The sequence below is a fragment of the Homo sapiens genome, chromosome 14 (assembly GCF_000001405.40).
Source record: "Homo sapiens chromosome 14, GRCh38.p14 Primary Assembly".
Classification (NCBI taxonomy): Eukaryota; Metazoa; Chordata; class Mammalia; order Primates; family Hominidae; genus Homo; species Homo sapiens.
The window spans coordinates 58,226,348-58,240,532 of NC_000014.9; the positions used below are offsets into that span (position 1 = coordinate 58,226,348).

At 39.4% G+C, this 14,185-nt stretch overlaps 1 protein-coding gene and 1 non-coding gene across 5 annotated transcripts in view, besides 3 other annotated features; one reads left to right on the top strand and one right to left on the bottom strand.

Moving 5' to 3' along the window:
- ACTR10 (actin related protein 10) overlaps window positions 1-9,289 on the top strand; it is a 35,488-nt gene extending 26,199 nt beyond the window's left edge. For all 4 annotated transcript variants that reach the window (XM_011536960.2, NM_018477.3, XM_011536961.2 and 1 more), the window contains 3 exons: window positions 4,052-4,133; window positions 5,719-5,920; window positions 8,023-9,289. In XM_011536960.2, coding sequence (XP_011535262.1) covers window positions 4,052-4,133; window positions 5,719-5,920; window positions 8,023-8,204 — 466 coding nt within the window. In that variant the 3' untranslated portion in view covers window positions 8,205-9,289. The remainder of the gene's footprint in view (window positions 1-4,051; window positions 4,134-5,718; window positions 5,921-8,022) is intronic.
- Window positions 12,304-12,363: an enhancer, noted in NCBI's record as "active region_8443". NCBI's record gives its function as "activates an Ori minimal core promoter by ATAC-STARR-seq in GM12878 lymphoblastoid cells {active_cell/tissue: GM12878}" and the evidence as "EXISTENCE:reporter gene assay evidence [ECO:0000049][PMID:35858748]".
- Window positions 12,374-12,463: an enhancer, noted in NCBI's record as "active region_8444". NCBI's record gives its function as "activates an Ori minimal core promoter by ATAC-STARR-seq in GM12878 lymphoblastoid cells {active_cell/tissue: GM12878}" and the evidence as "EXISTENCE:reporter gene assay evidence [ECO:0000049][PMID:35858748]".
- Window positions 12,554-12,603: an enhancer, noted in NCBI's record as "active region_8445". NCBI's record gives its function as "activates an Ori minimal core promoter by ATAC-STARR-seq in GM12878 lymphoblastoid cells {active_cell/tissue: GM12878}" and the evidence as "EXISTENCE:reporter gene assay evidence [ECO:0000049][PMID:35858748]".
- On the bottom strand, window positions 13,548-13,620 carry TRK-CTT1-1 (tRNA-Lys (anticodon CTT) 1-1). Its single transcript has one exon. It is a non-coding gene; the product is annotated as a tRNA-Lys (tRNA).
- Window positions 13,621-14,185: the final 565 nt, after the last annotated feature.

Consider the following 14,185-nt stretch of genomic DNA (forward strand, 5'->3'; position numbering starts at 1 on the left):
AATCCTCCCACCTTGCCCTCCCAGAGTGTTGGGATTACAGGCATGAGCCACCGCCCTGGGCTCCCCATCTCTATTTTCTTTAAAAAAAAAAAAAAAAAAGGAAATTCAATGAACATGGAATTGTTGGTTCCAAAATAATAGGAAAATGCTAATGTGAATAAAGGAAGCCAGTATGTCTTACTTTCCAAACCCAATTAATTTACGTTTACTAACATGTTTTTTGTGTTTTGTTTTTTTGTGTGTTTTTTGTTTTGTTTTGTTTTGTTTTTTGAGGTGGAGTTTCACTCTTGTTGCCCAGGCTGGAGTGCAATGATGTGGTCTCGGCTCACCACAACCCCCACCTCCCGGGTTCAAGCAATTCTCCTGCCTCAGCCTCCCAAGTAGCTGGGATTACAGGCATGCGCACCATGCCCAGCTAATTTTTGTATTTTTAGTAGAGACGAGGTTTCTCCATGTTAGTCAAGCTGGTCTCGAACTCCCGACCTCAGGTGATCTGCCTGCCTTGGCCTCCCAAAGTGCTGGGATTACAGGTGTGAGCCACCGCACCCAGCCTAACATGTTGTTTCTACCAAAAGGTATAGTTCCATTGAAACCTTCTAATTAGACACAATACTGACCAGTAGTTGGTTGGTGAAGCAAAAAAAGGGTTATTTAAAGGAAAGGACCATTATAAAAAATCGTATACTAAACATTTTATTTTAACTTAAAATTTGTGTGTATTTATGTTTTTCCAAGACCTTTTATTTGAGGCTAAGTCTGCTTATAGAGTGCTGACTTAAAATTATATAAACCAGTAATTCATAATTTATGATTTCCAGCTTTTTTTTTTTTTTTCTTTTTATAAGTACAGTAAGAGCTTAAAGTTACTAGGAATCAGTCTTGGTACAGAATCCATCTAGTTGGCTGGGCGTGGTGGCTCATGCTTGTAATCCCAGCATTTTGGTAGGCCAAGGCGGGCGGATCACTTGAGGTCACGAGTTTGACACCAGCCTGGCCAACATGGTGAAACCCCATCTCCACTAAAAATAAACAGAATCCATCTAGTTATTTTCTTCTAGACTTTTACAGTTGTCTCACCTGTTACAAATATTTTTAAAAATGAACTTGTCTTTCCAAAGCTTTCAACATTCATAGAAAGAACAACTTGTTTTCTACCTTAATATTTCACTGGTTAAGTAATAATTGTTAAGTTATGTAATTTTAATATCAAATCAGCTGACAAAAGATTGGGAAAAAGAAGAGTGACTCTTTGTAAGCATGCAGCTCAACTGGTGGAAGAAGTCTGCAGGCATAGTGGCAAGGGCCTGACCAGCTATGCCCGTTCAGCATACTGCAGGCCTCAGTTAGTATACTTTAGTGGTGAAGTGGAAAAAATTAGCTAGTAGATTGAGTCTCATGAAGAGGATTTTATGTTTTGAAAAGGATTTTTAAAAGCTTTAAAATAGTTATGCATAATATCCCAATTTTATAAAAAATAGAGTTTATACCTGTATATGTATAGTTAATTTTGTATTGCATTGGTTAGGATTGGTTTGGCCACAGTTATACAAACCTGAAAATAGTGGCTTCAACAACTTAGAAGTTTATCTCATTTAAAAGAAGTTCAAGGCTGGGCGCAGTGGCTCACACCTGTAATCCCAGCACCTTGGGATGCCAGTGCTGTTGGATTGCTTGAGCCTGGGATGTAGAGGTTGTGGTGAGCTGAGATTGTGCCATTGCACTCCAGCTTGGGCAACAGGGCAAGACCCTATCTCAAAAAATTTGAAATTAAAAGAAAAGAAGTTCAGAGGTAGATCATCCAGGGACAATATTATCATCTCATATTAGAGACCCAAACATCTTTCCATCTATCATCTCTGAGATATAGCCCTTATCCTTGAGGTCCAGGATGGCTGTTGGAGTTGTAGCTACCACGTTTTTGTTTCAAGCAAGTAGTCCTAAGAAGGGAAAGAAGGAAGTACTTAACTCTTAATTGAAAGTCCAACATAGGCCGGGTGCGGTGGCTCTTGCCTATAATCCCAACACTTTGGGGAGGCTGAGGCGGGCAGATCGCTTGAGGCCAGGAGTTCGAGACCAGCCTGGCCAACATGGCAAAACCCCGTCTCTACTGAAAATATACAAAAAATTAGCTGGGCGTGGTGGCACAGGCCTGTAATCACACCTACTTGGGAGGCTGAGACATGAGAATTGCTTGAACCTGGGAGGCTGATCCGGGATCACACCATTGCACAGAGCGAGACTCTGTCTCAAAAGGGAAAAAAAAAAAGTCCGACATATTACTTTTGCCTACATCTCATTGACTGGTACTTAACTACATCTAGTTGCAAGACAGACTTTTTTTTTTTTTTTTTTTTTTTTTTTTTTTTTTTTTTAAAGAGATGAGGTCTCACTGTGCTGCTCAGGCTGGTCTTGAATTCCTGGCCTCAAGCCATTCCCCTGCTCTGCCTCAGCCTCCTGAAATGCTGGGATTATAGGCATGAGCCATTGCATCTGGCCAAAGGCTGGTAAATACAATGTTTTAACTAGTGGGATGGGGTGGAGGCACAATATATCCAGCTTAAAAATGGAGTTTTATCTTTTTTTATTTTCAAATCCTACAGATAAACAGGCAGTTGTAAAAGATAATACAGAGAGGTCCCATATACCCTTTCAGTTTCTCCCAATGGTTAAACATCTTATATAACTATAATATGATATCAAAACTAGTAAATTGGCATTGGCATAAAATATATGTCAGTTCTGTGTTATTTTATCATGTGTGAGTTCTACAGTCACTACAACAATGGAGATATAGAACTATTGCCAGACAGAAAGAAAAATACTGCTTGATCTCACTTATATGTGGAATCAAAAAAAAAAGTCAAATATCTAGAAACAGAGTAAAACAGTGGTTGTTAGGAGTTGGGAGGGGAAGGAAATGAGGAGAGGGTCAAAGGACACAAACTTGCAGTTATGAGTGATGAATAAACCTAGAGATCTAATGTACAGCATGAGGACTTTAGTTAGTAACACTATTCTATACTGAAAATTTGCTAAGAATAGATTTTGGGGCCGGGCGCAGTGGCTCACGCCTGTAATCCTAGCACTTTGGGAGGCCGAGGTGGGCGGATCACGAGGTCAGGAGATCGAGACCATCCTGGCTAACACGGTGAAACCCCGTCTCTACTAAAAATACAAAAAATTAGCCGGGCGCGGTGGCGGGCACCTGTAGTCCGAGCTATTCAGGTGGCTGAGGCAGGAGAATGGCGTGAATCCAGGAGGCGGAGCTTGCAGTGAGCCGAGATCACGCCACTGCACTCCAGCCGGGGCAACAGAGCAAGACTCTGTATCAAAAAAAAAAAAAAAAAGAATAGATTTTGGGTGCTCTTACTACTTATGGAAGGTGATGGATAAGTTAGTTTGCTTGAATGTAGTAATTACTTCATTATGTGTGTATATATATGTATATATCAAACTATGTTGTGTACCTTAAATATATATATAATTTTTAAAAAAATATGGAACTCTTTCATCACCACAGAGATCTTCCTCATGCTACCAAAAAGAAATAGAGTAATTTTAATTTGAGATTAAACTGGAAAATGGATATTTTATTAAGCAACTAGTGATCCTTGTATTATTTTAAAAAACAAAGAAATGGGGGGTGATTGCTTATAAATCTCTTGTATCACTAGCTAATCTGCTTATTGAATCTTACTAACTTTCATAGAATACTATTTCTTTTCTCTTATTAGGTTTGGGGAGTTATAATTGGACACAAAATAAATGTAAATCTATACATAATAATAGTAACAGCTAATAATTTAGGGAATGCCTCCTATGTGCCAGACCCTGTTCTATTAACTCATTGCATCTTCACCTCAAACCCTGTGAGGCAGGCATTGTTATCCTCTCCATTTACAAATGAGAACACCTTGTATTTTAATAATTATTCTTTGTTAATGTAGTATTGGTACTTAAAAATACTATGTAAATGGAAATAATGGTGTATTCTGTGTAATATTATAATACGTGACACCAACAGAAAGCTCTCTTTTTCAAATCCCATTAGAGATTCAGTTGTGGAAATTCTTTTTGAACAAGATAATGAAGAGCAATCAGTTGCCACTTTAATATTGGATTCCCTTATACAGGTATTTTATCTTGTCAAAAAATTCCCTTTATTACCACAGTCCTTTAAATATAAATTTTAAATGTTATTTTAGGCAACTAGCAATCCTTGTCACATATTATTTTTAATATGTGTCAACAACTAATCTGCTTATTAAATTTTATTAATTTTTACAGAATACGGTCCTTTTTTAACTTTTTAAACTTTCATTTTAAAATTTTATAGTTCATGAGTTTTACTCTGGCACTGAGAAATGGCATCTACAACATTCCAAACCCCAGGATAATGAGTGCCATGGACATGTGCTTTTTTTTTTTTTTGAGACAAAGTCTCGCTCTGTCACCCAGGCTGGAGTGCAGTGGCGCGATCTCAGCTCACTGCAGCCTCTGCCTCCCGGGTTCAAGTGATTCTCCTGCCTCAGCCTCCTGAGGAACTGGGATTACAGGCACCCACCACCTTGCCCAGCTAATTTTTGTATTATTTAGAGACAGGGTTTCGCCATGTTGGCCAGGCTGGTCTTGAACTCCTGACCTTGTGATCCGCCCGCCTCGGCCTCCCAAAGTGCTGGGATTACAAGCGTGAGCCACCGCACCTGGCCTTTTTTTTCTCTTTTTTTGACAGTGTTGCTCTTGTTGCCCAGGCTGGAGTGCAATGGCATGATCTCAGCTCAGCACAACCTCCGCCCCCGGGTTCAAGTGAGTATCCTGCCTCAGCTTCCCGAGTAGCTGGGATTACAGGCATGTGCCACCATGCCTGGCTAATTTTGTATTTTTGGTAGAGATGGGGTTTCTCCATGTTGGTCAGGCTGGTCTTGAACTCCCGACCTCAGGTAATCCACCTGTCTCGGCCTCCCAAAGGGCTGTACAGGCGTGAGCCACCAAACCCAGTGACATGTGCATTCTTTTAAGACCAGGGACCAGATTTTTATTTTGTACCTAGTGTGGCTTGTGGTTCCTTCCAATTCAGGGTTGTATAGTATTCAATTTTAAATTCCACAGGACATATGGTAATAATATGTCTCTTTCGTTTAATGACTATGTAATTATAGGACTTCGCATGAAATACCATTGCCTTGGAAGATATGTTTACCTCTAGGGCTCCATTCATTGAAGGACCTTATCATCGCTAACTCTTAAAGAGAACTGATGTAGAACCATAATTTTTCTAGGAGTGTTATCTTCCCACTTAACAACTGGCACTGTGAATACACCTTAGAAAAATTAAATTTCTACATATTTCACTTATCCCAAAAAAGAGAAGTTATTTCTTCTCATGCTCTTTGCCCTACTTAATCATTGCTACCCTGACAGTGAGAACACTCACATATGCCCTATGGAATGTAAAATTCTATGCTTTTAGACTTTAAACTATTTTAAAATCTTTAAAGTTTATGTATATATTTGGCAGTATGTTTATGGTGGTTATATTTGCTACATGAAAGAAACCTTGCTGTGGCCCTTTTTGCGATACAAACGATCACCTGTTTAATCTGTAGTATAATAATAATATGTATAATAATAGTATATTTATGTATATTTTCTTAAGTTCAATCAAGCATTATTTGTACAGTTCAGAATAAATCCTTCTTTTTTTCTTTTTAATAACAGTGTCCGATAGACACCAGGAAGCAACTAGCAGAGAATTTGGTAGTCATAGGTGGCACTTCTATGTTGCCAGGATTTCTCCACAGATTGCTTGCAGAAATAAGGTATTTGGTAGAAAAACCAAAATATAAAAAAGCACTTGGCACTAAGACATTTCGAATTCATACTCCACCTGCAAAAGCTAATTGTGTGGCCTGGTTGGGAGGTAAGAATTTCACTTTTAAAATATAATGATTATATAGTATTTGGTCTCTGAATGACACTATTAATGGATATATTAGAATAAATAATTCAGGGTTCAGAATTGCCCACTTTATAAATAGAACTAACACTGACTTTTTCTTTTTTTTTTTTTTTTTTTTTTTTTTTGAGACGGAGTCTCACTCTGTCGCCAGGCTGGAGTGCAGTGGTGGTGCGATCTCGGCTCACTGCAGCTTCCGCCTCCCGGGTTCAAGCAATTCTGCTGCCTCAGCCTCCTGACTAGCTGGGACTGCAGGCGTGCACCACCACGCCCAGCTAATTTTTGTATTTTTAGTAGAGACGGGGTTTCACCATGTTGGCCAGGATGGTCTCGATCTCTTGACCTCGTGATCCACCCACCTTGGCCTCCCAAAGTGCTGGGATTACAGGCATGAACCACCATGCCCAGCTGACTTTTTCTTAAATTGTATTAATTTTCAGAATTTTATACCTATTTCTCTTGGCATTTGCACCGTGATATTAAGTAAACGTTCTCATTTAGTTAAAGTCATCCCTCAAAATAGTGAAAGCTATGAATTTATTCCAGTGATGCTACCATTTCTTTCTTTCTTTTTTTTTTTTTTTGAGACGTTTCATCTTTGTTGCCCGTCCAGCTGGAGTGCTATAGCGTGATCCCAGCTCACCGCAACCTCTGCCTCCCAGGCTCAAGCAATCCTCCTGCCTCAGCCTCCCTAGTAGCTGGGATTATAGGCGCCCGCCACCACGCCTGGCTAAGTTTTTTGTATCTTTAGTAGAGACAGGGTTTCTCCATGTTGGTCAGGCTGGTCTCAAACTCCTGACCTCAGGTGATCCGCCCGCCTCTGCCTCCCAAAGTGCTGGGATTACAGGTGTGAGCCACCGCCCCTGGCTTACCATTTCTTAAAATGTTCATTTTAATGTCTTCTAAAGCTAGTGAGCCACATATGAAAATTGGCCTCTTTAATTTATGAGTATATTTGTGACTGAGTTCATTAAATGTTTTAAGTAGTGATGGTTTCACTGAAATAAGCAATTAACCTAATAAGTACAGTTGACCCTTGAACAACATGGGTTTGAATTATGTGGGTCCACTCATATGCTGTTTTTTAGGAAATATGCTAGAAAAATTTTGGAGATTTGCAACAATTTGAAAAAACATAGACAAACCATGTAGCCTAGAAATATCAAAAAAATTAAGAAAAAGATACATCATGAATGTATAAAAATATATATACAGATACTGGGCTGTTTATGTGTTAATCGACTATTCATGTTATTGGTAAGACTTCTCAGTCAACAGTAGACTATTGGTAGTTAAGTTTTCGGGGAGTCAAAAATTATACATGGATTTTCAACTGCTTGGGGGTCCACACCCCTAATCCCTGCATTGTTCAAGGATCAGCTGTAACTACTTTGAAGGGAAAAACAATCATGAATATGTACATTTATACAGGTTCTGATATGTGTTTTATGATGCAGTTAGAGCTAGAAGGTATCAGGATTGTGCATTTAGAGAAAGAGTAGTATGACATTTTAAAATGAATGTTACATTATTTCTTGTAAAATAGAATTTGGTCAAAACGTAGTTTTGATCTAGGACAAATTGATTTAGTAATGGAATTGTTTTTAAAAGACTGCCTTGTGGGTCTTAATAAGGTCTTCAGTATAGTATGTTAGGACATTATGATGATGTTTATTGGGTTTTGCAGTACCATTTTATTTATTGATATGTAACCTTAGTTGTGAGAGAGAAAACTCAGAATCTTATTGATTGTATTTACACAAAGTTGAAAATACTTTCACTCCACTCTATCTCACTTGCTTTTAAATGCAATAATACTTGTTATCATATTCACTATTATCTGCTAAAGGCCATTTCAATTACTTTAACATGGAGTTATGGCTTACCCTGTTATTCAAAATGTAAAATAAAGAATGGCTTAACTGGAATTACTTTGAAGATTGTGGCTATGCATTGCTGAATTTTACCAGTCCACTTTTGTCATATAGTGAAGTAGATGTATGTGTACATAAAGTTTTCTGGTAAAAGTTTTCATCTTAGCTATAAAAAATATTTTTGTCACACAGGGGCTATTTTTGGAGCATTACAAGATATACTTGGGAGCCGTTCTGTTTCAAAGGAATATTATAATCAGACGGGCCGTATACCTGATTGGTGTTCTCTCAATAACCCACCTTTGGAAATGATGTTTGATGTCGGGAAAACTCAACCACCTCTGATGAAGAGAGCATTTTCCACTGAGAAATAGAAGTTTGATTAAAAATCAACCTTGCTTCATATCAAATATTTAACCAATTATAAGCAAATTGTACAAAGTATGTAGGATGTTTTGTTATAGAGGACTATAGTGGAAGTGAAAGCATTCTGTGTTTACTCTTTGCATTAATATATAATTCTTTTGACTTTGTTTCTCTTGTGTAGTGGTAAAATGGTAGCTGGTGCTTATTGAGATTTGCTGTATTTATATCAATAAAGTATAGTAAAGCAGTTTGATTTTGGAAGTTTGTTATGTGGCTTTTTTTTTTTTTTTTTTTTTGAGACGGAGTCTCGCTCTGTCACTTAGGCTGGAGTGCAGTGGCACAATCTCTACTCATTGCAAGCTCCGCCTCCCGGGTTTACGCCATTCTGTCTCAGCCTCCTGAGTAGCTGGGACTATAGGCATACGCCACCCCGCCCGGCTAATTTTTTGTATATTTAGTAGAGACGGGGTTTCACCATGTTAGCCAGGATGGTCTCAATTTCCTGACCTCGTGATCCACCCTCCTCGGCCTCCCAAAGTGTTGGGATTACAGGCGTGAACCACTGTACCAGCCTATGTTGCTTGTCTTTCAAAAAGAACAGTATTTCTCCACAGTTCACATAACCTGTTCTGGGCTCATTAATTGTGTTTCCAGCAGTTACTCCATTTAAAGCATAAATAGTGTTAACCATTACCAGTTATTTCAAATACTAACATGGGTCCATTTAAAAAAAATATTTATTTTGGTACTTGGGTGTCCATATTATAATAATGTTGTTTTTCCAGAAATATATTTGATCTTTGGACTGAGAATGTTTGGTAACATAGTCAAGCATTTGTTAAGCCAAGTGTGGAAATGTTCACTTTTTAACTTTACAGTTTTTTTAATGAGCAATTCTACATTTCTAAGAAAAAAGATACTTCATTTTTATATAAGGTTACAACTGCTTTATAAAAATGTATTCACAATGTCATTAATCTTTGCGTTTGTGCTTTATATCTTCTCAGGGCAGAGGTTCTTGAAATATGTACTCAATCATTTAACTTTTATTTTATTTTTTCATTTGTTTTTAATGAACTACCTCTTGTTGAAATTTTGCTGGCTTCATTCTTTCGGGATACCTGTGTCCTCTAGTCCTACCGCTCTTCCATAGCACTCTTTCCTTAAGCACAGTATCCATAATTGGGGCACTTCTAACTTTTACCTTGTAATCGTTTCAACAGAGGTTTTATCTTCTTTTCTGGAATATAAGCTCTCGTAGAACAAGGCTTGTCTATTTCTTAACTTTGAAACCTCCCAGGAGGATTGCCAGGAATAGGTATACTATTATTTGCCAATTGGATGGATTTACTATTTTATTAACATTATCTCTTTTTTCAGTAAACATGAACTTTACATTTATATTGACCTCATATTTTGGTGAATTTAGATTATTTATGAGAAGTTTTCATCATTGAATAATATCAAAAACAGGATCTGTGACTGAAATAGAGCTTTAAAACTAGCTATAAAGTAGCAGACAACTAGTGGCTGAAGTTAAGGAATGTAGCCCTCTGTTATAGGTTGAATTATGTCCCTCAAAAAGATAGGTTGAAGTCCCAACCCCTGTACCTTGTGAACGTGACCTTATTTGGAAATAGAGTTGCAGATGTAGTCAAATTAACATGCGATCATTAGGGTGGCGCCCCGATCCAGTAAGACTGGCATCTTTATAAGAAGAGGAAGCCGGTTGTGGCGGCCCATCCCTGTAATCCCAGCAGTTTGGGAGGCTGAGGCGGGTGGATCACTTAAGGTCAGGAGTTCAAGACCAGCCTGGCCAACATGGTGAAACCCTATGTTTACCAAAAATACAAAAATTAGCCAGGTGTGGTCCTGTATGCCTGTAATCCCAGCTACTCCAGAGGCTGAGGCAGGAGGATTGCTTGAACCCGGGATGCGGAGGCTGCAGTGATCCAAGATCACGCTACTGCACTCCAGCCTGGGTGACAGAGTGAGACCCTGTCTCAAAAAAACAAAAAAAAACCCTAAGGAAAGCCATGCCTAACATATTCCAGGATTGACAAGGAGACCAATTTGGCTTGTGTAGAGTGAGTAAGGAGAAGAAAAGCAATAGTAGATGGGGGAGTGGGTGGATATCTTGTAAGGATACATCTTACTGAGTAAAACAGGGTGCCCTTGGAGGGTTTTGAGTGGAATGACAAGATCTGGCTTGTTTATACCGGATTATTCTGGATGTTGCATTAAGAATAGAGTTTAGAGAGACAAACTGAAGCAGGAAAATCAGTTATGAAACCATTGCAGTAATCCCAGTGAGATGATGTTTTAAGCCAAGGTGCTAGCAGTAAAGATGAGAAGCCTGATTCTGGATACATGGAAGGTAGACCAACAGGATTTCCTGATAGATCTTATGTGGGTGTTTCAGTTACCTATTGCTATGTAACAAACTTCTAAAAGTTAGTAGCTTAAAACAATATGAATTGTATTTGCTTATGGTTTTGTGGGTCAGAATTCAGGCAAGACTCAGGTGAGCAGTTCTGTTCCACGTAGTATGAGCTGGAGATAGCCACCTGGCTGTATTTAATTGGTGTGCTGGGATGGAAGGTCTAGGACAGCCTTGTTTACAAGTCTCAGTGTCAGTGCTCTCCACATGCCTTCTCTGTCTTCCACATGCTTCTCTCCACATGGCTGGCTTAGGCTCCCTCAGCATGGTGGTCTCAGAATACTGATTTGTTACTTGGCAGCTTGGATCCAAACTCCATTGTGTGAGTTCTCCTCAAGACACTGTTTGCATCATGCTTTCTGTTGTCCTATTAGCCAAAGTTAGTCACATGGCCAAGCTCACAGTCAATATGGGAGGGGAATATTGAAAGACACTTTCACAATGGGGTTGGAGAGATAGGAATCAATAATGTTTCCAATATTTTTCATCCATGCAACTAGAAGGATGGTGTTACCGTTAATGGAGAAAAAAAGGAAAACTACAGGAGAAACAAGTTTTGGGGCAAAGATCAAGAATTAGTTTTTGTACATGTTAAGTATGAGATATCTACTAAACATCCAAATGGATATAGATGTTTGATATTTAAGAGAGAGATCTGGGCTGTCTTAAAAGTTTTGAATCGGCCGGGCACGGTGGCTCAAGCCTGTAATCCCAGCACTTTGGGAGGCCGAGGCAGGTGGATCACTCGAGGTCAGGAGTTCGAGACCAGCCTGACCAATATGGTGAAATCCTGTCTCTACTAAAAATACAAAAATTAGCCGGGTGTGGTGGCGGGTGCCTGTAGTCCTAGCTATTCGGGAGGTTGAGACAGGAGAATTGCTTGAACCCGGGAGGCGGCAGTTGCAGTGAGCCAAGATCATGCCACTGCACTCCAGCCTGGGCGACAGAGTGAGACTCCGTCTCAAAAAAAAAAAAAAAAAAAAAAGTTGTGAATCATCAGCAAGTATCACAATTGAAACTGTGAGATCACCAAGTGCATGAGTGTGGATAGAGAAGGGGACCAAGGACTCACCCATCGATGGAGCACTCCCAAGTGAAGAGATAGGAGAGAAAGGAAGTAGCTGGTGAGATAGGGTAGAAAACAAGAAAGCGTTAGTGTGCTGGAAGCCAAGGGGGAGATGTGGATCCAGCATGGAGTGATAAAATTTGTAACAAATTTCTGATACTCCAAGTAAATTAGGACTTGCAATTAACAATTCGATTTTGTGGAGATGAATGATGACCTTTTCATGTACAGTTTAGTAGACTAGTGGGGTGTGCCGGGAGGGACGGAAAGTCCTGACTAGGGTGGGTTGAGAAGAGCAAGAAGTGCCTGACATCTGGGAACTAATCTAACACAAGTAAGCCTCAATGCTATTACAGATTGATATGACGCTTTCGGCAAACTATGCTTTTCTTCTGTTTTTCACATAACATACACTTCAGACAAGTTGGTTACTGTCCAACTCAAAACACCAAACCTCCCTCTTGCTAAACGAGTGACTTACTTTATCAGTTTCACCTTTATCCCTCCTTTAGTCTGCCATCCTTATAGATAAGATTTCAGATCCTAGAATTGCCCTGGTTTTCTGAGAGCACCCAATTCAGAACCCCTACTTACTTAGACCCTCCCCCAAATTACCCAACAAAAGCCAAGATCCTATAATCACCATCTTACTGAATCACCCCACACTTCTCCCTTGTTGCCATGAGTAATAAACTAAACGTATTTGACAACAGGTGTGGGGGTTTTCTGGTTTTTTTTGTTTGTTGTTTTGTTTTGTTTTGGTCTATGGCTGAAGGGCATTGTCAGGGTTAAGAGATGGGAGGGAGGGGAAACTTGAGCTTAGGCAAAAGGGGATGGGCTTTTGCTACACAGGGGAACAGAGAAATAGAATGGCAGCCTGTGAGGAAACTAGGTCGAAGTTTTTAAGATAAATAACAGCATGTTTGTGTGTTGAACGGAAAAATCAAGAAGGGAGAAAAATGGATCCTTTAGTAGAGAGCTGGGGGATGACACGTGGAGGGTACAGGATCCAGTGCTTTAGGCAGGGTTGGCTTCAGGTAGGAAGGAGCATAAACCGTTCGCCTACGTGGTCTGGCGGGTGAGATCCTGGAATGTGTCTGGCTGTGGTGGTCCGAGTGGGCGAGGACATTCTGCTGACTTCACAGTTCTCAGTGCAAAGGGGAGAAGGCGGAAACCTTTCCTCCCTCACATATCCAATTGCCTATCCTAATTTTCATATCTCAGTTGTTTTGTACGTCTTTAAAGAGCCTTTACTAGAATCTTAATTTCCTAGTATCCATCCCCAAGAAGAATGGAAGAAAACTTGATGTATGCACTGGTGGTATAAATCTCACTACAAAAAGAACTATTTTTCACTATATATTTCTTCAGGGATAGACTCCATATTGAGAATAGGAAAAAGGACAGAGAGAGAGAGAGAGGAAGAGAAACAGAGAAGGATAAATTGGTTCTTTTTCTTCGGAGTCCTCAGGTGCCTCTGAATGTTTTTACATCCGGTCTCTTAAATTTTAGAAGAGCAGCCAAAATGTGGGGCTCATAGGTTTGTTAAGATAACAATTAAAACTGCCCTCTACCACTAACTATCCAAGTATGCACAGTAACACAAAAAACTAGTCTTTAACAGTGGGCATTTGGTTTCCTCTGTGTTTTAAGGAGAACACGGGGAGGACGTGTGATTTCAATTGCGCAAACACAGTTTGTGACCTGTTTCGTTTACAAAAGGTTAACTTTTTACTGGAGAATCTGGTTAATATTGAAAGTGTTTAAATTAATTCTGCTTGAGAACTCTGTAGTTTAAGTGCTTTAGTGAAAGCGTTTAAGTTTCAGGAAAAAAGTTACAACCCGCGCCCAACGTGGGGCTCGAACCCACGACCCTGGGATTAAGAGTCCCATGCTCTACCGACTGAGCTAGCCGGGCGCCTGTTACGTTAGCCTGCTTTTTTACTTCTTGAGGACTGTTTAACTACATGGTTTTATATTCTCCGCGTAGTTTCTTTTCTAAAAAAATTTATAACGTACTATTAGATCGGCACTTCAGAATTATTTTTCAGAGCGTTCTAAATATTTAATTGTACTTAGATTTAAGAATGTTTGTATATGTATCCAAAGATCATTGAAAACTTATGCGAATCTTTATCATTACAGAGTCATTGAATCTTTTTAACAAAGTGTTTAAAAATATTTACCAACCAATATGTTTTGTTTACATAAACACATATCAAGGCCATCCAACTTCCATCAAATGGCATTCCGGATTCCTACATGTTTGGGCTCCGCATTTAGAAACAAAGTCCAATCTCTGAGGGGTTAGTTTCCCTGAACAACCGCGGGGCTTAGCTATTTTCTTTAGCATGGTCTGATGAAGGAGAGTTAAATTCAGAAAAGGGGGGCTTCGAGTCAATTAATATAAGGTCTCTTTAGCGTAATTGTCTGACAATGAGAGATAGGACGTTTGGAGGGTGCTATTATTCTCCTCAAGTGAC